This window comes from Homo sapiens, chromosome 13 (assembly GCF_000001405.40).
Source record: "Homo sapiens chromosome 13, GRCh38.p14 Primary Assembly".
NCBI classification, from domain to species: domain Eukaryota; kingdom Metazoa; phylum Chordata; class Mammalia; order Primates; family Hominidae; genus Homo; species Homo sapiens.
The window spans coordinates 38,079,304-38,104,742 of record NC_000013.11 but is presented as its reverse complement, the minus strand read 5'-3'; the positions used below and the strand labels follow the sequence as shown (position 1 = coordinate 38,104,742).

At 36.4% G+C, this 25,439-nt stretch overlaps 1 long non-coding RNA gene across 1 annotated transcript in view; it reads left to right on the top strand.

Annotated features, from left to right (window-relative positions):
* LINC00571 (long intergenic non-protein coding RNA 571) overlaps nucleotides 1-25,439 on the top strand; it is a 92,416-nt gene that overhangs the window by 38,490 nt on the left and 28,487 nt on the right. Inside the window, exons 2-3 of the long non-coding RNA NR_047500.1 lie at nucleotides 11,195-11,317; nucleotides 15,083-15,170. This is a non-coding gene — a long non-coding RNA (long intergenic non-protein coding RNA 571). The remainder of the gene's footprint in view (nucleotides 1-11,194; nucleotides 11,318-15,082; nucleotides 15,171-25,439) is intronic.

Here is a 25,439-nt window from a genome sequence, read left to right as displayed (position 1 = left end):
GCACTCTTGGGCTGCATGCTCTAACCCTGGGGGACTGGGACCAGGCCCACAGCTTTGTTCTTTGGCTCCTCAAGGATCCTGTTTCACTGGAGGGGCTGAGGTATTCCCAGTCCACTGGTAACAACCCTCTTAAGGGGGCGTGCTGGCAAAAGTACTTCACTGGGGAAGTGGCAGTGAGCTTCATGCTTTCAATCACCAACGAAGTGGTACAAGAAGGCTGTGAGCAAAAGCACACTGGCGAAGCAGTGTGGGCTGCTGTCAGCAGGTGCATGCTGGGAGTGGCCCATCTGCAGAAGCTCTCTGATGATTTGGTGGTATCTGCCAGTGAAGATATGGCAGTGACCACTGGGAAATGCCACAGTTGGAGATCTCAGACTGCACTACTGGGAGAGGCCAGCAGACAGGGGGCTCTCAGATCAGACTGTCCCCATCCCATGAGCAGACAGTCCTGTTCCACCCATGTCTAATAGTCAACAAAGGCCCAAGCCACCTAGAGGAGCATGGTGAACCTTGGGGTATGGATGTCCCCAGCCATGTGCCACTGCTGCCATTTCCATGCCAAACCCTGTAGGCTCTACACCACTTAGAGTCCTGTCCCTGCCAACTCTCTAAGCAGCTCTCTGCCAACTCAAATGTCCACAGGGGTCATCAGTTCCCCTTCAGCTAGGATTCCAGAGGTCTGTGGTGATATTTGGCCACTCATGCCTATTTGACTCATGCTTTCCCTAGGAGCTGCCCAGGACAAGAAGTACATCCTGGCACTCAGCAATATTGTGCAGCATTCCCAGCCTCCTCCCCTTTCAGGGTAGGATCTGTGGCCTTCCTCTATTTATTCCCAATGGCTTCCTTCTGAAAATCTGCTTGGAGTGTGCCAGTCTTCATGGTCTGGTCTCTCAATAGGTTGGAGAAGCTATTCTTGGCAGCATGCAGTCAGCCATCTTGGCTCTTGTCCCAGTATTAATTTCTATTGTAAAAAATATTTCATGAAGTGTTATTTTTTTCTTTATCACTGATTTTGCTGGATTATGTGACATGTCTCACCTAAATCCTGGCTATGTCTGGAAGTCTGGACAGGTAGAAGTTCCAGGAAAGAGATCTGGATGGCTGGTGACTTGCAGGATCACTGAAGGGTAGCAGCTTAGGATAGTGGCCTTTGATGTACATGAATATAAATGTATATTTTGACAACTGCTATGACCTCATGTATGCACAAGCAAAATTATAAAAATGTCCAATTCAAAAAATTAGAAAAAGCCTAGCAGATTAAGCCTGAAGTATAAGAATGGTAATAATACACAAATGTAAACAAGTAACATAGGTACAATAAAGATAAAGAAAATCCAAAATCAGTTCCTTAAGAACTCCTAAAATAGACATATCTAAGATTTAATTAACACAACTTCAAACTTCTTATATAAAATACTAGTAAGTTGACTTCAGTAAAAATGTGTGTGTTTATATGTGATACATTCCGACCACATACAATTATCCCTCAAAATACAAAAATGTAAAGATGATTTGACTTTTTAAAATGTTTTGACATAATTTACTATAATGATGGAACAAAATAGAGTAATTCATCCTTTAGAGAGTTGTCTCAAAAATATAATGAGATTTTTAATCTATCAGAATTAATAATAGAATCTAGCAATGCAATTTATTGTTAGAAATCATTACTGTTATAAATACTAGTTTTATATTTTTAAATTACAAATACATTTTACAGATTGTGAAAATATATGTTGCAAATATTTAAATATTGTATTCATTTTTAAAGCCCCTTCCCCATGATATTTTGTTTATAACTATTATCGCTCTTCTTATTACAATATAGTTTATCAGTTTACAAATATTTCTTCCTACAGTATTACATGCTCATTGAAACCAGGGAAAATGTAAAATTTATCGTTATGTCTGCTGAGTCAGTTTTGTTTCCAATGTATTCTAAATGTTCAATCAATGTTTCCTAAATGGAAATAAAATAGGAAACATACAGTAGTTCTGGAGTAAATGAAATGTCCTTCAATAAAATAAATAAAATCTTATTCCTAGATTTGACACTTAGCTTGAATCTTGACTGTTGATGGAGTGGACCCACAGAGGAAGCAGACGTAGAGTAATAGATTTTGATGGAGAAGAAGAGAGGGTGAAACAATGGTGTTGATTCTATTGACTGCTAGAACAGGGAACTCTCCACTAAAAGAATGCAGAAATGGAATAGACAGTAGCCAAGAAAAATACCATTTGTATCACAGTTTAAACTACAATGTAGCCTGTTGGTTCCAGGACAAAGCTATTGAAGGATAACTGTTACTTTGCTTTTGCCTCCTTGGAGTTGATCTCAAAGGAAAAATGCTAATAAATGGGTACCACTTTTAATATCAGTGAATCATTCAGTATTAATCATAGCCACAGAAAAATCAGTTATGTCTAAGGACACAGTCACATTAATTTGATAGCCAGCAATTGCTTTTTATATAAGGTAACATTAAATATGAGAAGTCACATAAGTGAAATCAAAAGGAAATGAAGCAATTTTTGAAAAAGACTATGACCCAATAGTGAACTAAAACTAATGAAGAGAAAGTAGAAGGGTTTTTTCCAGAATAAATCTGATAAAATGATTATGCTGTGAATTTTCCCTATTTTCCCATTTTATAGTGATTTTTAGCTTATGTGACATCAGCCCAGCACCAAATGTTCTCTGACACACTAAGGATTTTCTTGCCACAACATTAGACTTTTCGAAGCCTAAGAACAATGAAGGCTTATGAATGACTTTGTCACTACTCTTTACCACACAATAATATCCTTCCCTTCTTTTAAAATTTGTCTCAAACCTCTTTATTTTATGAAGGTTTCCATAATTGATTCCATAATCTCCCAGATTTTTCATCTTTATGACAAAACTTCTATCACTTTAGCCCTAAATTATCTACTTTTATATATCTCAGTCACTTTGTACTTACATGTAGGTTTCTTTTTCTGGCTTTCCCACTGTGTGATAGGGATTAAAACTTGTGTTTCCTTTAATAATGAGATACTAAATTAGAAAAGAACAATACCTAACAATACCCTAACAGCCTAAGCAACTGCTCTTACCATTTCTCTTATTCTGTGTCTCATCTATATGAACATCAGAGATACAGCTATCCACTATCTTCTTCTCACTTAAGCACTTTGATCTGCTGTTAAATAGTCTGAATTTGTAATATGATATTTAACAGATGCATCAGTATATTTTGGATGTTTGTACCCTCCAAATCTCATATTGACATGTAATCCCCAATGTTGAAAGTGCAGCCTAGTGGGAGGTGATTGGATCATGGGGGCAATTCCTCATGAATGGCTTTGTGTTCTCTCAGTGGTAATAAGTTCATAGTAATGAGTGCACCCAAGATCTGTTTGTTAAAAAGAGTCTGGGACCTCTCTCACTCTCTCTTGCCCCCTCTCTCACCGTATAATACAATGGCTCCTCTCTGCCTTCCACCATGGGTAAAAGTTTCCTGAGGCCTCACTGGAAGCAGAGCTGGCACCACGTTTCTTGTACAGCCCACAGAACTGTGAGCCAAATAAACCTCTTTTCTTTATAAATTACCCAGCCTCAGGTATTCTTTTATAGCAATACAAAATGGAAACAATGGAAATAACAAATTTCTAGAATCTTCAAGTCAATATCCCAAAAGGCTAGAATCAGAGGAGAATTGATGGTAAAAAGAAGCAAAAGGTGTAAGGAATCAGCACTGAATATACATTTGATATGCCAGTTTCTATTATAGGTGTTTTACAGATAGGATACCAGTTATATCATTGCAACAATCCCACTCAGTGAGCATTGTTGCTCACATTTTATACATGAAGCTGTGAATACAAGTGGCCAAGTGTTTTGGACAGAGTCAGGCTGCTTATAGCTGGTAGAGCCAGGAATTGCACCCACTATCATGTAGTTAGACTAAAAATGCTCATTTCCTTTCAAAACACTGTGTATCTCACAAAGAGAAATTCTGAATTTGTATTGTAACTGAGAGAATATAATTGAGACTTTTGGAAGAGAGAGAATTAAAAATTAAGCTTTGGGGTTTTGTTTGTAGTTATAAATACCACTTTCAGATTGTTTTTCACTATATATTTCCTACTCAAAGATTTGTTAAAATATTTACTTTATGAAACACATACACAATTCTTCCATTGGTAAGATTTTTATTTTTGTGTCATTCCTGGTTTACATTTTCATGAAAATATATTTAATTCAAAACAAATATTGCTGTAAACCTGCATCATAATTAATAACTAATTTTCTTTACAGACTGTCATAATTTTAGAATCTGGCTTGATTTTCACTTGTTTTGCTCTTCCTTTTGCAAGTCACCAGAAAAAAACACAGAAAATCAAATTGAATCAACATTGCTTTTATGTCTGCCACATTAACTACACTACAACTTTTTGAAGAGAACTCAGCAAAAAGATAACATGAAGATTAACACCAGAGCATTACATACAGAAGATAGATCTTAGAGCCAACAGGCAACATTTGTTATTTCCATAAATACTTACATTTATCTAAATTCTAGAAAGAAAAAATGCAAATTAATGCAATAACTCTTGTCTCTTAGGAAGATATTTTCAAATGTGTTGTTACACTATCATTTATTCAGTGCCATAAATAAACTTCAGTGTTAACAAGCATAAATTAAATCAAGGTCTCTGACCCAGGATCTAGCTATCAAATAAAACTGTAACAAATCATAAAATGTAATCACATCTAAACTCTTCATTGTTATAGGAGTAAATGAAGTGGAGTAAATTAAGAACAATGTGATTTATGTTTTCATTAAACAGAACACTGGGGCAATTTGAGACAGTACTTTAGATAACTTTTTAATAGATTGTTAAATTTCATGACTGAAAAGAAATTGGAGATTATCTAATCTAATATCCCTGTTTTTTTTGTGACTGTTGTTTTTACAGATGAGGAAAATAATGTCTGGAGAAGTTTATTAGTTGCCTGAAGTTACAAAGATTTTTCTGTTAGGGATAGTACTATAATAAAAATGAGACCTTTTTTTCATTATATATATTTCCTTCATTAAATATATATAATATGCATTATGTAATGCATATTAAGGAAAATAGAAGTATCTCTATAATTTTTAGTTATGATATGTTCTATCTTTTTTTGTTTTTAAATTATGAGGAAAAAATAGGCTAAAATTAAAGTAAAAGTTACTCTGACCTTTGGTGCTGAGCCATACCTCAACGAGGATATCACTGTAAGGCTGGAGTATAGATTAGGAATAAATGAGGCCAAATTTAACCAGAGTTTTCCTGGAATATTTTGTATATTTCTCAACCAAGGGAAAGGAGGACAATATCAAAATTAGGAAACCACATTGACAAGTCACTGGTGTTTGGAAAAACTGGAGAGAGTTGACATAAATATGACTGGAGAGTAGATTTGGCTCAAGTAGTAAGGCTGGTATGGTAGGAAACTAACACAGTTATCTGCCTTACCTCAAATGTGTCTCCCTCATTTATTAATCAATAAGATTTACAGCAAACCTAAATATTTGTCACTGGTAAATAGAGTGAAAGACTGATATGGTTTGGATATTTGTCCCCTCATGATCCCGTGTTGAAATGCAGTCGCCAATGTTGGAAGTGGGGATGTGATTAGATTATGGGGATGGATCCCTCATGAATGGTTTAGCATCATTCCCATGGTGATAACTGAGTTCTTGCTCAGTTAGTTCAGGCAAGATCCGGTTGTTTAAAAGTGCATGGCATCTCCCTGCTCTCTCTCTTGCTCCAGCTTTTGCCACATGATACACTGGCTCCCTCTTTGCCTTCCACCATGATTGTAAGCTTCCTAAGGCCTCAGGAGAAGCAGACACCAAAAGCATGCTTCCTGTAGAGACTGAAGAACCAATTAAACCCCTTTTATTTTAAAATTATTCAGTCTCAAGTATTTTTTTAAAAGCAACACAAAATCAGCCTAGTGCAGACTGAGACAGGAGTTTCTGTCTTCCTCCAAAATATAAATAAAGACTACAGCAACTACTATTACAATTAATAGTATAGCAGTAATAATACAAGTAATATTAGATCAACACAAGGCTGCAAACTTGGAGCTTTCCTAAGGAGTTCTTATTTCCACAGTAGTCTTTTCAACATGTTTTTGACCATGGCTGCCTCTACCCATGTTTTCTAAGAACCAATGCATTAATTTCATTCCTCAAAAATTCTGTGTTTTTTATTTTCCTATATTTATATTCTTTCTTTTTATTTTTTAATAGTATTTTATGAAAATTATCTTTATTTTTTAAAATAGACACATTTATATGTCTGACATTGTTCTAGGCCCTTCATAAATATTTAAACTATAATTTATGTAATAACACTATAAAATAGGTCCCTACTATTATTCTCATTTTGCAAGTGAGAAAAAAAAAGCATCCTGGAGATATAAAGAAATTTTTTCATGGTCATCTAACTGGTGAGTGAGACCATTGATATTTTAACCTAGGTTTAAAGTCATAGAAAACTCACCAAAAGCACAACTTACGAAGCCAGACTGGTTTCCTATTCTATAACTGATATAACTATTCTATAACTGATACATCATTCCTATTCTATAACTGAGATATCTTTCTATTCCATAACTATTCTATATTCTATAACTCTTCTATAACTGATATGTCTTTTCTATTCTTTAACTGATATATCTTTCCTAGTTTCTCATGAAAAAAATTAAAAAGCACAAGACTTATGAAAAAAATTAATATATATGATTTTAAGAGGGGTCCTTTGAGGGTTAAAAGTGGAACTTGTCAATTGAGAAAAATGATGAGACAAGTCTTAATCATTTTAGGAGGTTTACTTGCCAAAGTTAAGGATGCACTCCCTCCAGACAGGTCTATGCCTTTCTCCGAAGATGATTTTGAGGGCTCCAAATTTAAAGGGGAAAGGGCAAGATATTGAGAACTACACAATTTTCATGTAAGAGGGGGGAAGAAAAAAATAGTCATTCATGCCTTTGTCTGGCTTAGTGAATCTGAATTTTTTTACATATAATGATGTATTAGGGTTCTCTAGAGGGACAGAACTAATATATAAAATACTACTCAATAAACTCCCATGTATATGGAGTTTAAGTTAAGTTTTATATATATATGGGAGTTTATTAAGTAGTATTAACTCACACGATCACAAGGTCCCACAATAGGCCATCTGCAAGCTGAGGACCAAGGACACCAGTCTGAGTCCCAAAGCTGAAGAACTTGGAGTCCAATATTCGGAAGCAGGAAGCATCCAGCACAAGAGAAAAATGTAGGCTGGGAGGCTAAGACAGACTAGCCTTTTCACATTTTCCTGCCTGTTTTATATTCTGGCCACCCTGGCAGCTGATTAGATTGTGCCCACCCAGATTAAGGATGGGTCTGCCTTTCCCAGCCTGCTGACTGAAAGGTTAATCTCCTTTGGCAACACCCTCACAGACACACCTAGAATCAATATTTTGCATCCTTCAATCCAATCAAGTTGATACTCAGTATTAACTATGACAAATGACATAGACAAATGGGGCAGTCGAAAAATGTGGGGAATGTGTATTTTACATAAGACAACATAAGACAAAATGGGGTAGGGGAACAATCGGATATGCATTTGTGTCAGGTGGGCAGAGGGGTGACTGCACCTGTAAAGATAAGCTATAAATTTACATGGCCATGGTGAAATTTTAACAGAATACCTTAGAGTAAAGATCTTGCAGCTCACTAAAAATTTGCTTGTGGGCAAAACATGGGGGAGGCATGGAGCTTTTCATCTTGTAGCCATCTTATTTAGAAACAAAAAAGGAGGAGTTAGGTTTGTGTGACCCAGTTCCCAGCTTGACTTTTCCCTTCGGCTTAATGAATTTGGGGTGCTAAGATTTAATTTTCTTTCACAAACTCTAGATTATGTAATTAGTTCAGGAACACTGCATTTGATTGTTGCATGAGGATGCCAGAAGAGTAGATCATGCAGAAAATTGAATTTTACCATTTATTATGATAATTCTTTTATGAAAAGGCTAAATAAATTTCTTGATCTATTAGAGGAACTTGATGGGATAGGTTCATTCTTCAAGTTTGGGAATAAGAGTAGAGGAGAGCTACACTGTTTTGCAAAATAGAGAGAAAAATGTGTAGTTTCATGGGATATATAAGAGTGAACGATGGAGTGAAGAGATGAGCCAGCAAGTTTGTTGGAGTCTAGTTCTGTTTGATGTAAAGACCAAAAGAGCCTGGGAGCAGTGGCTCATGCCTGTAAACCCAACACTTTGGGAGGCCTTGGCGGGCCAATCACTTGAGGTCAGAAGTTCGAGACCAGCCTGGCTCTCTACTAAAAACAAAAAAAATTAGCCCGGTGTGGTGGCACATGCCTGTAGTCCCAGCTACTCGGGAGGCTGAGGCAGAAGAATTGCTTGAACCCAGGAGGCGGAGGTTGCAGTGAGCTGATCACCACTGCACTTCAGCCTGGGTAACAGAGGGAGACTCCACATAAAAAAAAAAAAAAAAAAAAAGAGGAGCCCAAGTGTTAAGGTGTTAAGGTGGAAGAGTAGCAATGTCAAATAGGTTATATTGGACTGAAGGTTCTTTTCCATTCAATGTGCTGTGTGACTTCCTCCAGGAAACTCCAGCTTTTGTATTAGTGAGTACTCTTGCATGAGAGCTTTCTGTGTGCAGGTGTTTACCCTTGAAGGAGCTTTGTTGCACATCTGCATGCTTGGGGACAGAGAGAAACTACTCTCAACTGGAGTTCAGGGGTCTCAAGGACTGTGAGAATGTGATTACGTGGAATCCTTTGCTGGCTTTTGGGCTTCCACAGGGAGTAGAATTGGAGTTTGTGCCATTCTGTCTCTATCTTGGGGGTGAAGCAGATTCTTAGGTTTTTTGTTCATAGTGTTCCTGATTCAGTTGAACTAAAAATCCACCTTCTAAAGGACAAAAATTACAGTTTCCACAAGACTGTTTAAAATATTGTACTACATGGCTGTCACTCAGTCATTCATTGACCTATTAAGTCAGGGAATGTATGAGAACATTGACTATATATAACAATCAGTAAATTTATCAACTAGAATCCTGTTGTCATGTTTGTTCTAGAGAAAAATTATGTATATTGTGTATAAAATTTTATCTTGGTTAAAATTATTTGTAGCTATAGTTAAGTAAAAAAAATGCACTCTTATTTCTGGGTTTCTGGATATATATTCTAATTAATCATATTTTATATTTCCCAGTATAATTTTTATGATCTGGCATAAAACATCACTCAAGTTTTCATATGAGTAAAGTCTTGAATTTAGAAATTATGATAGTTTATTATGCATGCCATCCAATTCCTGCTGTAAGCATTTGATAACAAATGGATTAATAATCTTTATCTAGATATCATTTATCTTTGTGTCAGATCATAACTTATTGTTGTATATTTTTATCTTAAATATTTACTATCTGTCCTTTGCAAACAGGGTCCCATTTAAATTCCATCAGTGTGAGTGATGAAAATTTTGAAAGGCAGACAAAGAGAACCTGTTATAGGCTATAGGCATGTACATGGGCTTTGGCAATGAAAGGATTTGCCAATAGTTTCTAGGCATTATTCTCTGAATGGCCTGCAGTTGAGATGATCTGCATTTGTCTCCTACCATTTTCTTCTCTCCTGAATTTTGTATCATTCCTTTCAGTGGTAATGTAAGCCTCTATTTTCTTGCTTCTATTATCTAAGGTAGTTCCTTCTCCTGACCAAACCCAAATTGACACAGTCTGCTTTACCTTGGCCCTAGCCATTCAATACTCACTCATTATTTCTCTATTTACATCATCAGTTAAGTATAATTTTTCATATCCTCTATTTCTTAGCAAACGGCATAAGGAAATAATTATTTCTTCGGAGCAACTATTACAAGTTCTCTGTGGTTTGAATTACTCTTAATATATAAAATATAATTTTGTTTCTCTCCCCTTAAGACTTAATACTTGGATATTTTCTTCTCCCCACCCCCCAAATCCCCAATTATGCCAAAACATTTGTCACTATAAACGTGAACATCTTTCTTTATGATCAGATATCTCCTGCAAGATAACGAACTGTGTAGTAAATATATTTTTTACAAATATCTCATGATTTGAACATGTTAAATTATCAATGCTAAATCAATTTTCTTTCGGATTTAAATTTAAAATGACACTAGCATTTCTAATCATTTTAAATCAGGCTCTGATGGCATTTGAATCAACCTTTTAAAAAACAAAGCAGGTTTTTAATAAAGCATAAAGCCATGGGGTTTTGCATTGCTTAATGAACTATAGCACTTTCTAATCAGATAATTACATGCTTATACAGAGGTCAGAATAAATAAGTTTATATATGTTTACCAAACTGTGACAGTATCAATCTGTAGCAGTAGTTGATTATACACATTCAAATAAATTTTAATAATAATTGAAAAAATATTACAGCCTTTTAGAGCAAAAAAAGATATAAAATATATGATCCAAATTCATTTTTTGACAAATACGTAATATGTCATTTGGAAAAACTACATTATTACCACTAAATACTGTTGGCCCTGTTTATAATTAAAAAATGATCTTTCCCTCAGAAAGTTTTGTTATCTTCTTCTGCTGCACTCTCTATATAATTAGTGCCTGAACACAAAAAATATCCTGAAAATTCATACATATGCCAATGAAATAATAAAAGAAGACATATATATTAAATATATTAACTTTGATCTACTGTAGATTTTCCTTGGTAAATATTAAATCAAGTTTAGCCTAAAGCTATCTTCTTACATATTTTAAGTTCAGCCTAAAAGTTTCTCTGTATATCGTCAACTATAACTGAAACGGAGTTGTACACAAACTGTAGTCTACTCTTGTGCCAATTACCAAGTTTTGGCCAAAGGTGGCCAACTGTTCAAACTGTGTTCAAATAAGGAAAATGCCAGGCTGTAACCAATTCGGCTGTTTCCTTACCTCACTACCATTGTCTGTATGTCTCTATCCTTTTTCTGCCCATAAATCTTCTACCACATGGCCATGCTGGAGTCTCGGAACCTACTTTGGCTCAGGAGGCTGCCCAATTCATGAATTGTTCTTTGCTCAATTAAACTCTGTTATTAATTCAGCTAATGTTTTTATTTTAACAGATGGCATCAGAAGTGGGATCTAAAGTAAAGCTTCTAACAATCCCCATGAGCACTGAGTGACCAAGCAAGGTACACGCCAGGCCTGTTCTGTCTGTTGCTCTCACAGAGGAGCTGGGGATCGTGGTAAGTTTTCTTTTGGATTCTGAAGCTCCACAGATTTGTGTTTTGAGCTCTCTGAGTTTCCTTGAGCGAATGTATGATCCAAACTGGGTTTGGAACTCATAAGAGAAATTGGACTGGGTCCACAATTGAATTAGATCTGATAATTAACTGGCTTGAATCCAGTTAGAGATCTCTTATATCTGATTGGGTCAGAAAGAAATAGGTAGTAAATGCCAATATTGCAGGGGGTGTAAAATTTGGCTTTTGTAAACTCACAGGGATTTTTGTGTTCTATGCCTTTGTTTCATTTTAGGTGGAGAAAAAAATCATTAGCTAAGTTGATCAAAAGAAACTGAGAGCCAAAGCCAATATTTCAGGTAGAAATAGGATCCTTAATTACTTAAGAACTGAGTTCCTTCTGGCTTATACATGCATAAATATTAGATCCTGGAAGCAGCAATGTCTTACAGACATGGCAGAATCTTACTAAAAATAAGTTACAGTAGAATCTTCCAAATAAACAACACTGCAGCAGAAACTTCTAAAAAGATTTCAATGTTTTTATTTAAAGAATTTGTAAAAGGCAAATAAAAAGCTTACGTGACTGATAGATAAGAAAAATTAAATCTGCTAACCCTTTGTCTTAGTTACCAACCCATCTCAAGGGTGGAAAAAAAGCTATCCTAGATAAGTTGTTTATAAAAGGTAGACCCTAAGGTAAAATAGGCTTGCTTTGTTTTTCAGATCTACCCATGCTGAATCCAGGCATACAGAATGCTTTCTGGCCTTATTCCTTAATAGACTCCAACCTTAACTCAAGTAATTTTAGGTAAAAAAAACAGTAGCTAAGTTAAAAAGAACACCCTATTGAACTAAAATATACCTTTCTGAAATTTAATTGGCTATCTTAAAACTCTTTTATAAATAAAATTTATATCTATGAAGGAAATCTCCAATTTTAAGGATGTCTGCCTATGTGTGTTCGAAACTCTTACCATCTTTTAAATTTACATAATAAGTCATACCTTTGTTTAAGGTGCTTTTCTGGCCATCCTGTCTTAAGTGAACTTTTATTTAAGCAGATTTTTTTCCTTAGTTTGAGAAAATGATGATACAATATTTAGGCCTAAAATCTTAGCTCTGTGCTTATGAAATTTAAATTTTTCTGTTCCACCTAAGAGTTGTCCCTTTAGAAATTCAAATTTCTTGCCTAGTACACAATTGCTTAGGGTAATGAAACAGGTAATTGGATGATTGGAAGGCTCAATGGGGAAAAGAAAAGCTATTTAAAAGCCAGCAAATGAAAATCCTTTATGAAAGCTATATGATCTGTTTCTGTGTGTTTGTATCTGTATATGTGTATGTGATATTTGGTAAATAAAGCTAGCTTTTAAACTGTTGGTAAAATGTAAGTGGTTTCAAAATTATCAAGTTGAATATAATTAGATATATGCTTGATTTAACTGTGAGCTTATGTCTTTGATTTAGAGTCTCTGGATCCATGGGTCTGGATAGGTGGCAATGATAAAGTCTGGAGACATGTTTTTAGTGCCTATATCAGGGGCTGCAAGCCAGAATCAAGCTCAATGTGGTCCCTTCTTCCTCTGTTTTCCCTTTTTTGCCTCATAGATATTTTTGGAAGGGTTGGTTTCTCCAGGTATGGTCTTAACAACTGTTTCCTCTCCTGATGGACTCAGACAAGCCTTGACCTTCCTAGTCCTCATGTATGTCACATGGCTACTTGGGACCTAGAATGACTGGGGGAAGTCATTGGGGAGGCTACCTGTGTCATAGTATCAAAGTTCTTTTCAGTAATTTAAAATCTTAGAATCATATTTTTTTAAATTCAGTAACAGATAATCATAAAATGTCTGAGTCATCTGTAAGCTAATATACTGAGATATTAATTAATAAATATACATTTAAGTCTCTATACCTTGACATGTTATTTTTATGTGGTAGGTATTGATATAGGAGTTAAGAAGGAATTACTTAGGCAGACAGCAAGGCCATGGGAGTTCTCAGTAGGGCTTTTCTTTTTAATGAAAAGCAGCTTCAAATTATTTTCTTTTCTAATGAAAAGCAGCCTGTAAAATTGAGCTGCAGACATAGATGCCAGCAGTTGTGCCAATCATGTTAAAGATGGTGGCTCCATCTTCCCTTCTCTTTGTCAGCCATGTGTACAGTGAGAAGCAGACAAGATGGCTCCGATCAACTGGAAAGCCCATTTGCACCATTTGCATAATTAGATTATGGTTGGGCCACCAGTTTCCCCTCCTCCACCCTCTCCTCTGCCCACTATGTAGATGTCATACCTGATTGAACCAATCTGTGAGCCCTATGTAAATCAGACACTGAATTCTCCAGCCTGCCTATAACGTCTGCTGCAGTCTGCTGCCCCTCCTCTTTTCAGATGTCTCTCTCTCTCTCTCTCTCCTCCTCTCTCTCTCTCTCTCTCTCCTCTGTCCTCTCTCCTCTCTCTCACTAGGAGCTGCTCTCCTCTCTCCTTTCTGCTGTCTATTGAACTTTCTACTCCTTAACCCACCCACATGTGTCCATGTCCTGAACTCTTTCTCAGCACATGGCAATGAACCCCAGGATATATACCCCAGACAACCGTAGCTGCTTCAGTATAGAAAAGCTAAGTATGTTTAGACTGTTAATAAACAATAATTTGGATAACCATCTTTCTAAAAACTTATAAAATATTTTTTATCTACAAATACTGATATAAAACAGTTCAAAATTACTTTCCAGGCTTATCACTGGAAATTAGGGTTACTAAGGGTTAAAAACTACTAGATATGAGATAATTCTTTTTTCAGAGTGTATAAGCAAAGCAAAATATGTGTTTGATGAGGAAAGTTATAAAGGCATAAAAATGTGTGTTAAAAATTGTGTTTGGTTTGAAGTTACTTAAAGATTTCAAATTGAAGGAATAAAAAACAGATAAAACAAGATGAATGTAGAAAGTTGGGGAAAATGTAAAATAAAAGATTTACAGAAATGTGTGGTTAAAAAATGATAGATTTGATAAATGTTATTTATGAGGTTTTGTTAAAATCAGTTTTCATATTGATAATACACTGATAGGTTTTCCCTTTTTAACAAGAATTTTGTGTAGTATTAACATGCCAGTATAATATTTTCATTCACCTTTTCAGTAAACTGAGGAAAAGAAAGAGTAAATAAGAACAGAGAGATTCTGTCTCATGCTGTCTTGTCTTTTGATTGTTTAGAAAACTGAGTCCCCTTGATCAAAGACAAACAGGTTTTGTTTTTAAAAATCTTTTAATTATTACTTTGGTAAATGAATCACTGTGGTCTTATGGTGACCTCTGATCCTATTTTGGTCAAGTGCTCTAAACCTTTGACATATTTGACAGGCTTCGCAAAATCAAATTTCAACTTCAAAATTGCGTCTTTTTTTACCTCTCACTTTGGGGTGCTCCAGAGGCCACCTGAAGCATCCAAAGGAGAAGTAAATGGGATTATTTTACATGTTATGTTACAAGGGAAGGATTGTCAAATAAGAAATAATATTTAACCTTCTTCAGGTTACATTTTAATGAATGTTATTTATATGTGTTCCAAAATTGTATGGGATTTCTAAAATTCTAATGTGTATAATATTTTGTTATTGTAGACCAGAGAAATAACCAAATTTCCTAGTCAATTGTGTCATTAACCATGACTATTCAAAGCCATTTTCACAGTTAATTGCTTCTGAAGCAGTTTCTGAAAACTTCACAAGTATATAAAATCCTAGAATATGTTGTTTTGCAGGAGGTTCATGACAGGATGAAAAGAAACCTGAGAAGCACTCTTGAAGAGAGGTTTCTGAATAACTTTCGAATCATATCATTTGGACTGGGTAAGAAATCTCTGAAACTTTAATAAAAAGACTGACTGGTTTATCTAAATCAGCCAGTACTGAAGTTGCTCAGATATACAATTTGAATAAACTTCATTGTCTAGGTAAAATTACCCATGATAACCCATCATTTATCAGTGCTGTGCACTTAAATTGGAGAAACAACTGGTATTCAAGAGGACATAATTTGAATAAGCATGAACTCTTGGAGAACTAGGGCAGCAGGCTTGTCCTCTTGAGTCCTTAAAGCTTTTGTTATTAAATGGTCTACATTCCATGACTCATCATGGAAAAGATAAAATGATCCCGATAAATGTATGTGTGTGTGTGTGTGTGTGTGTGTGTGTGTGTGTGTGTATATATATATATATATATATATATATATATATATATGGACTTCTAACTTGCTAAAATAGTTTATGACCAAAATGTTTGGTTTGTTAAACTCACATTCCTGGGAAGACATTCAAAACTTCAGGTACATTTCACTACCTGATGGGCCATTTAAACATTTATAGAAGGATTTAATCACTTGTCATCTCAATGCATGTTTTCTAGTTATACAAAAGTTTCTCATGTAAGAAGTCTGATGTTATAACAGTAGCTCATTATGCCACAGTATATTTTCACAAAGTAAAGAAAATTCTTCATGGTTCACTGACTGGGGACAATCAACCTCTTCACAATCTAGAACCCAAAGATTCTAGATTGTGATCCAAGAGCATCAGAGAAAAACTGCCCTTGCCATCCACATTGTAGCATAACTTTGGGACCTTGAACCTAAGGTTCATAATCTCACAACTCAGAAGCATCCCTCAATACTCTTGGAACTGTACGCCCTTTGAAACCCTTAAAATAAAACTAGGCAGAGAAGTTTCTACCCAGAAGAAGATGGCATCCTTGATGTGGACAGCTTTATCCCAAGATCACGGATCAAGACTTTTCTACTATCACGAGACTCTTATCTTTCAATTTTTTTCTTTGCTTATGCCTCTTTGAATAATAGAAGTAAAAAGGGGGTCTGTTGTGTGGACTCATGGAATATACTTTGTGAAAAATTTTGCAGCCAGCCTTATACATGGATAAGCTTATGCCTTGATAGATGGAAGATGAAGACCCAATGTAAGTTAGAAATTTTACTGGTACATATGTTGCCTCATAATCAGTCAGAAACAGAACATTGGTCCACTCCTCTTAACCTACATCATGGGTTGCAGAGAACATTGCCAGGAGGCCTCCACTCTTTTAGAAGGGTCACATTTGTTAGGTCCTTTTTTCCACAATTTCTTTTTTGAGTGTTCTCAACAATATATATTTTATAAATTTCCTGAACACATAAAAATATCTATGAATTATAATTTTGTTATCCAAGGTAAACATTTTGGAAAGTAAGATTGAAGAAAAAAAATATATATATATAATAAAATAGTTATTTTTCACTGAAGATTTTAAAATTTCTTCTTCTCAAACCCAGCAACTCATCAAAGTAATATTTTTTGTAATTGTCATTATTTCTACCTAATTTATCTTATCCACACACTAATTTTATAGTTAAAATGTCAAAACTGACAAAAATGTATGACAAAATTAATATTAGCCAAATTTACTCTGGAAAATAATTATGTTTCCCACTCTGTCTCTGCAAAATTTCTTCTGCATTTAATATGCTTTAAACGGATTCAGTTTGAATGCCTCCCCCATGAATAATTGCTATTCTACTCTGCTAGAATTAATACTTTTTTTCCTGATATTTTTCCACCATGGAACATGGTTGACATCTTTAGGTCACCTCTATATTCTCTATTCCCTCTTTTTCGGTTTTTTAATTCTTTACCAGACTATAGAATACTTTTGAGAGAAAAAAAAAGAACAAAAAAAAACAAAAAACCTTATTTCTGGGCTCTCTACTCTGTTCCACTGGTCTATGTGTCTGTTTTTGTATCAGTACCATGCTGTTTTGGTTAATGTAGCCTTATAATATAGTTTTGTCACAGTATTCTTCAGGTTTCTCTTCACTAGCTGGGAACCTCTGTGTCTGGTGGCTGCTGGCCCCTCTGCTTGAGTTTTGCTTGTACCTGCTCATTCCACCCACTCAGCCTGGCAGGCTGTGGTTGGTTTGCACTACCTACTGGCCTGGATTCCACACATGCTAAGGGCAAGACAGGCATGGAGTGGCAAGGGGTGTATGAACAAGTGAGTACGGGGGCCAGTTGCTGTGCACAGCAAAGCATGCTGGCTGCTGTGGTGGGGTGGGCAGCTCCAGGTGCTGGCACAGGCACTGTGAGAGGCTGTGGCTTCATGCAAGGCTTCGTATGAGGCTGTGGCTGGACCAGACATGACACAAGTGGCTTCCACTGCAGGCACCAGTGTCTGCACAGGAAGACTGCAGTGGCACCCAAAAGCTTGAAGACACCAGGAACCACAGAGCCCCAGAGAGGTTGTTGCAGCACGTCCCAGTCTTGGCTCAGGGAGCCCCGAGGTCTGGGCTCCCAGAAGGGCTGCAGCTCTTTGCTCCTTCTTGTTGTCAGCAGTGTGGCAAGCAAGGGAGCGAGTTTCAGGGGGGCATGTTTCAGCCCATTTGTGTTACACCTCTTCTAGTCCCACTGCCCTACTCTAGCCTGCAGTTTCTGGGTTGGCCTGGCCCCACCACTGCTTCCCATCACATGGGGCGGTCACCAAGTACCAGCAGAAGGCAGGAAGGCTGTACTGTTACAGCAGCTCTGGCTCAGGGAATCCTGAGGTCTGGGCCCCCAGAAGGGTTGCCACTCTTCACTCCCACAGTCCAGGAGTGTGTCACTGCCCGTGCCTCAGTGAGCTGGCCAGAAACATTTTACATCTCCTTTTGCTCCTGCTGTTCAGCGGGTCCAGAGTTCTTGTCCTGTGTCCAGGAAGAATGAGGTTACACAGACTACTGGAGGGTGAGCAAGGTGGAGAGGAGCTTCATTCAGTGACAGACCAGCTCACAGCAGAGAGGAGACCCAAAGTGGGTAACTCCTATCCACAGGCAGATCATTCTGATGAGTGTAGAGAATACCCAAAATGGGTAGCTCGCATCTGCAGGCAGGCAGTTCTGACAGGTGTCGGACTCTGGCTGAGTTTGGGGTTTTTATGGGCTCAGAATGGAGAAAGTGCATGCTGATTGGTCCATGGGTGGCCATGGGCAGGCCTGGAAAAAGCACCATCCAGTTGGATAAAAGGCATCAAGGAAGTTCTCAGTCCATGTTGCAGACTCCACCTAGAAATGGCAGCCAGCCCCCAGGCTTCAGGCCATTCTTGGGTTGAAAGTGGGGTTTCACCTGCGACCCACCCCCTTCGCGCCCAGGAGTCTCCTGCTGCCATCAACATGCTGTCCATGGCACCCAGACTGTCTGCCATTAAGGGGTGCCTGCAGGCCCTCATTGAGCCACCCTCAGCCCCCTGGCCTCCTTCTCATGCTCATTAGCACCCAAAGTCCAGAGGGGCTGAGGTAGCAGGGGTCAAATGTGTCAGCACCTCCCCAGGTGCACACACACACAGCCAGATCATGACAGTTCCCAGGCTTGGCCACAACTTTCCTCCACACTGGAGTGGGCTCTGGGAGTGGGGAGAGGCCAGGGAACAAGAGTAGGCACTTTGGAGCCTTCAGGGGGAGGGGGCTTTCTGGGCCCATGAGAGCACAGGGATGCCTGGGTCTGGAGCCTTGGCTGGGTAGCTGCAGTTGCACCCAGGAGCATGGGGCTCCCACCTGCCAACTTGGTAGGGCACAGGGATCCTGCTAAGATCATCTGTTCCTGGCCCTCACTGGTTCTGTGGAGCACACAGCCCCAGCTGTGCCTTCCATGCTGCAGCTAGTGTCTTCACAGTGGCCACTCAAGATGGGCCGCTGCCACCATCAGTTTGAAGTCAGGTAATGTGAAGCCTCCAGCTTTGTTCTTTTTGCTTAGGATTGCCTTGGCCGTTTGGGCTCTGATATGGTTTGGCTGTGTCCTCACCCAAATCTCATCTTGAATTCTCACATGTTGTGGGAGGGATCTGTGGGAGGTAATTGAATAATGGGGGCAGGTCTTTCACATGCTATACTCGTGATAGTGAATAAGTCTCACGAGATCTGATGGTTTTATAAGGGGGAGTTCCCTGCACAAACCCTCTTCTCTGGTCCGGCGCCATGTGAGACATGTCTTCTACCTTCCGCCATGATTGTGAGGCCTCCCCAGCCACGTGGAAATTTGAAGTTCATTAAAACTCTTTCTTTTGTAAAATGCCCAGTCTCAGGTATGTGTTTATCAGCAACATGAAAACTGACTAATACAGGCTTTTTTTTTTTTTTGGTTCCACATGAATTTTGGTTTCATAGGATTTTCTAGTTCTGTGAAGAATGTCTTTGGTAGTTTATTAGTGAATAGCATTGCATCTGTAGTATGTCTGTTTTTTGTGTTTTTTTTTTTTTTTTTTTTTTTTTTTTCTGAGATGGAGTCTTGCTCTGTCCCCCAGGCTGGAGTGCAGTGGCACTATCTCGGCTCACTGCAAGCTCCACCTCCCAGGTTCACGCCATTCTCCTGCCTGAGCCTCCGGAGTAGCTGGGACTACAGGCACCTGCCACCACACCCGGCTAATGTTTTTGTATTTTTAGTAGAGACAGGGTTTCACTGTGTTAGGCAGGATGGTCTCAATCTCCTGACCTCATCATCCGCCCGCCTCGGCCTCCCGATTCTTCCTATCCATGACAATGGAATGTTTTTCCATTTGTTTGTGTCATCTCTGGTTCTCCTGAGCAGTATTTTGTAATTCTCATTAGAGAGCATGAATGATCTGATTTCTCTGCATCCTAACCAGAATTTTGTGTTGTCATTATTATACATTTTGACTGGAGCATAGTAATATTTCATTGTGATTTTGATTCACATTTCCCTAGTGGCTAATAACATTAGCTATCTCAAATATCTTTTTAGGTACTTATTGCCATGTGCATTTTTTTGGTGAATTGTCTCTTCATGTTTCTTGCTTATTTTCTTATTGGACTATTCAAGTTGTAAGATTTTAAAAATATATACTAGATACTAATCTTTTATTGGATATATGGTTTACAAATATTTTGTACTCCATATACCTCATGTCTTCATCCCTTTAGCAGACTCTTTCACAGAGCAAAGGTTTTTAATTTGAATTGAGTCTATTTAAAAAAACGTGGATTATGCTTTCAGTGTCACAGCTAAGAATTATTCGCCTAGCCCTAGAGCCCAGCGATTCTCTTGTACCTATTTTCTGAGTTTTACAGTTTTACATTTTACATATAAGTTGGTGATCCGTTTTGTGTTAATTTTTATATGAGGTGTGATATTCTTTTTAAATTTTAATTACTGATATGCTACAGCTTTAGTCTACCACTTCAGTATTTTTTTTCTATTTGTTTTTCTTTCAATGTCTTCTTTTTTCCATATCCTTGTGGGTTACTTGTACATATTTTTTTAACTCCAGTTTTACTTATTGATACTGTTTTTGAATGCATCTCTTTGTATAACTTGGATATAGGTCTCTCTCTATATATATTATATATATATATTATTGTATACAGGTTGCGCTCTCTCTGTGTGTGTGTGTGTGTGTGTGTGTGTGTGTGTGTGTGTATTTTACCAGTTTCAGTGAAGTATAGAACACTTATCTCCCTTTTTCCTTTACTATATCCCATTTAAAATACAGTTATCTTAAGTATTTCTTTTACACACATTTAGAACCTTTAAAGACAACATTATAATTTTTGCTTCAACAGTAATATAATTGAGAAAACTCAAGAGGAGAGATAAAGCTATTGTATTTGCCATATTTTTACTTACCATGTTTTTTCTTTCTTCCAGATATTCTGGGGTTTCATATTTTATCATTTTATTTCTATTATAGACATTTAGCTATTCTTTTAGGATAGATTTTTTGAAGGTAAATATTACTAGCTATCCTTTATAAAAGAATACCTTTACTTTTTTTTCCAAAAGGACATATTCACAGCATATAGGATTTTGAATTGGCAGGTCTTTTATTTCAGTACTTGAAAATACAATTCCACTTCTATCTACAACAATTTGAGGCAGAATCCACTGTCACTTGATTTATTTTTCTCTGATAGCTAATGTGTCATTTTTTGGCTACTTTCAAGTTTTTTTATTGGTTTTATTTTCAGAAGATTAATTATTTTGTGTCTTAGTATGAATTTGGGAGGTTTATCCTATTGGGAGTTTGTTCAGTTTCTTGAAATTATAAATTTATTTATCTTAACAATTGAAATATTTCTCTTCATTTTTTAAAGTACTTTTTCAGTCCCATCTTCTGTTTTGTCTCTGTCTGTGACTCTGATGACATGAGTGTTATGTCTTTTATTATAGTCCCACAGATTACTGAGGCTCTGTTAATTTTTAAATTTTAGTCTGTTTTTGTTGTGATATCCAGACTATGTAATTTTTATTGTTTAATCATCTAGGTCACTGATTCTTTTTTTGTGTGTGTAGCCTCCATTCTGCTTTTGGGTTCATCTACTGAGTTTTTATTTCAATTATTATATTTTTCAGATCTAATATATTCATTTGGTCCTCCTTTATAACTTTCATTTTTTTCTTTAGTGTTTTCATTTCTTTGCTGAGTATCTTTGTTGTAAGTGTGTTTATAATTGCTAATTGAAGCATTTATATAATCACTGCTGTAAAATTTTGATATTTCTGTTATCTCAGTGTTGATATCTATTGACTTTCATTCAGTTTGAGATTTTTCTGTTCCTTTTTGGGGGGATGTATCCATTCCCTTAAGCATTTATTCTTTCAATTACAAATAATCCAATTATACTCTTAAAGTTATTTTAAAATGTAGAATAAAGTCATTATTGACTATGGTCTTCCAGTTGTACTATCAATCAGTGGGTCTTATTCATTCTTTTTAACTATTTTGTTTTGTACCCATTAACCATCCCCACCTTCCCACTAGGCCCCTACTATCTTTCCCAGCCTCTGATAACCATCCTTCCAACTCTCTATGTTCATGAGTTTAGTTGTTTCGATTTTTAGATCCTACCAATAAGTGAGAACATGTGATAATATTCTTTCTGTGTCTGGCTTATTTTCCTTAATATAATAATCTCCAGTTCCATCAATGTTGCTGCAAATGATTGGATCTTATTCTTTTTTATGGCTATATAATACTCCATTGTGTATATGTACCACATTTTTTATCCCTTCATCTGATAATGAAAGCTTAGGTTGCTACCAAATATTAACTATTGTAAACCATGCTGCAACAAACTGGAAAGCAGATATCTCTTTAATATACTGATTTCCTTTCTTTTGCATATATTCCCAGCAGAATGATTGCTAGATTGTATAGTAGCTCAATTTTTAGTTTTTTGAAAAACCTCCAAACTGTTTCCCATAGTGGTTGTACCAATTTACATTCCAACAATATATGGGGGTTCCCTTTTTTCCACATCCTTGCCAGCATTTATTATTGCCCATCTTTTGGACATAAACCATTTTAACTGGGGTCAGATGATATTTCATTGTAGTTTTGATTTGCATTTCTCTGATGATCAATGATGTTGAGTACCTTTTCATATGCCTGTTTGCCATTTGTAGATCTTTTTCTCAGAAATGTCTATTCAAACCTTTTCCCCAATTTTTTTTATCAGATTATTAGATTTTTTTCCCATATAATTGTTTGAGCCTCTTATATATGCTGGTTACTTATCCTTTGTCAGATGGGTAGTTTGCAAATATTTTCCTCCATCCTGTGGGTTGTCTCTCCACTTTGTTGACTGTATCCTTGCTGTTCAGGGGCTTTTTAACTTGATGTGATCCCATTTGTTCATTTTTGCTTTGGCTGCCTGTGTTTGTAGGGTATTCCCAAGGAAATGTTTTTGAAGAACATCTAAAAAGCATCCAGGTCAATGTCCTGGATATTTTCCCCCAATGTTTTCTTGTAGTAGTTTCATAGTTTGAGGTCTTAGATTTAAGTTTTTATTCAATTTTGGTTTGATTTTTGTATATGTTTGGGTTTGATTTTTGTATATGTCTAGTTTTATTCTTCATATGGATGTCCAGCTCTTCCAGCACCATTTATTTAAGAGATTTAAGAGAGTCTTTTCTTGGGCATATGTTCTTGGCACCTTTGTCACAAATGAGTTCACTATAGGTGTGTGGATTTGTTTCTGTGTTCTATATTCTGTTCCATTAGTCTGCTTTTATACCAGTACCATGCTGTTTTGGTTACAAAAGCTCTGTAGTATAATGTAAAGTCAGGGAATGTGACTCCTTCAGTTTTATACTTTTTGTTTGAGATAGCCTTGGGTATTCTGGATTTGTGTGGCTAATATAAATATAATTGCTTTTTAAATTTTTTATATTGTTAACTGTTGCCATATAGAAATGCTACTAATTTTTGTACATTGATTTTGTGCCCTGCAACTTTACTAATTTTTTTATCAGTTCTAATAGCTTTTTATTGGATCATTAGGTTTTTCCAATTACATGATTATATCATCTGCAAACAAGAATAATTGGACATTTTTCTTTCAAATTTGGATGATGTTTATATCTTTCTCTTGTCTGATTGCTCATACTAGGGCTTCCAGTGCTATGCTGAATAACAGTGGTGACAATGGCAGATCTTAGAAGAAAGGCTTTTGAATTTTTCCCATTCAGTATGATATTATGTGGTTTTTATTATGTTGAAGTATGTTTTTCTATCCCCATTTTTTAAGGGATTTTATCATGAAGGGGTGTTGGATTTTATTCATTGCTTTTTTAGCATGAATGAAATAATCATATGGTTTTTATTCTTCATTCTGCTGATATGATGTATCACACTGATTGATTTCTATTTGTTGAACCATCCTTATATCACAGGGAGTAAATCTTACTTGGTCATAATGAATGACCTTTCTAATGTATTGTTGAATTCAGTTTGCTACTATTTGGTTGAGGATTTTTGCATTAAGATTTATCAAAACTATTGGCCTGTAGTTTCATTTTTTTCTTTATTTTGATTTTTATTTTAAGTTCTGGGGTATATGCGCAAGATGTACAGGTTTGTTACATAGGTAAACGTGTGACATTACTGGTTTGCTGCACCTATCAACCCATCACCTAGATATTAAGCCCACCATTCATTGTCTATTTTTCCTAATGCAATCCCTCCTCTCATCCCATCCCCCAACAGGCCCCAGTATGTGTTTTTCCCCTCGCTGTGTCCATGTGTTCCCATTGTTCAGCTCCCACTTATAAGTGAGAACCTGCTGTGTTTGGTTTTCTATTCTTGTGTCAGTTTGCTGAAGTTTTCCTTTTTCTGATGTGTCTTTGCCTTGTTTTGGTATCAGGGTAACACAGGCCTCATAATGAGTTTGGAAGTATTCTCTCCTCCTCTATTTTCTGGAATACCTTGAGTAGCACTGGTATTAGTTCTTCTTCAAACGTTTGGTACAATTCAGTGGTGAAGCCATCGGGTCCCAGGCTTTCCTTTACTGGGAGACTTTTTTACTACAGCTGCGATCACATTACTTGCTATTTGTCTATTTAGGTTTTTAATTTCTTCATGGTTCAATCTTAGTAGGTTGTATGTGTCCAGGAATTTGTGAATTTCTTCTAGATTTTCCAATGTATTGGCATGTAGTTGCTCATACTAACCACTAATGATCTTTTGAAATTTTGTAGTATCAGTTGTAATGTCTCCTTTATCATTTTCAATTTATTTGGATCATCTCTCTTTTTCTTAGTCTGGCTAAGGGTTTGTCAATTTTGCTCAACTTTTCAAAAAAGTATTTTTTAAATTTTAATTTGATTTATTTCTGCTGCGATCTTTATTATTTCTTTTACTAATTTGGGGTTTAGTTTGCTCTTGCTTTTCTAATTCTTTAATATGAATCATTGGATTGTTCATTTGAAATTTTTCCTTATTTTTAATGTAGACACTAATAGTTACAAACTTCCCTGTTAGTGCTGCTTTTGTTGTATTCCATAGGTTGTTAGATTGTGTTTCTATTATCATTTTCTTCATAATGTTTTTAAATTTTATTTTTAATTTCTTTATTGACCCACTGGTCACTCAGGAGCATGTTACTTAATTTCTATGTGTTTGTATAGTTTCCAAAATCCTTCTTGTTATGAATTTCTAGTTTTATTCCATTGTGGTCAGAGAAGATGTTTGATATTATTTCAATTTTTATATGTTTTAAGACTTGTTTTGTGACCTAACAGGTAGTCTGTCTGTTAGAATGATCCATGTGCTGAGGAAAAGCATGTCAAATGAAATGTTCTGTAA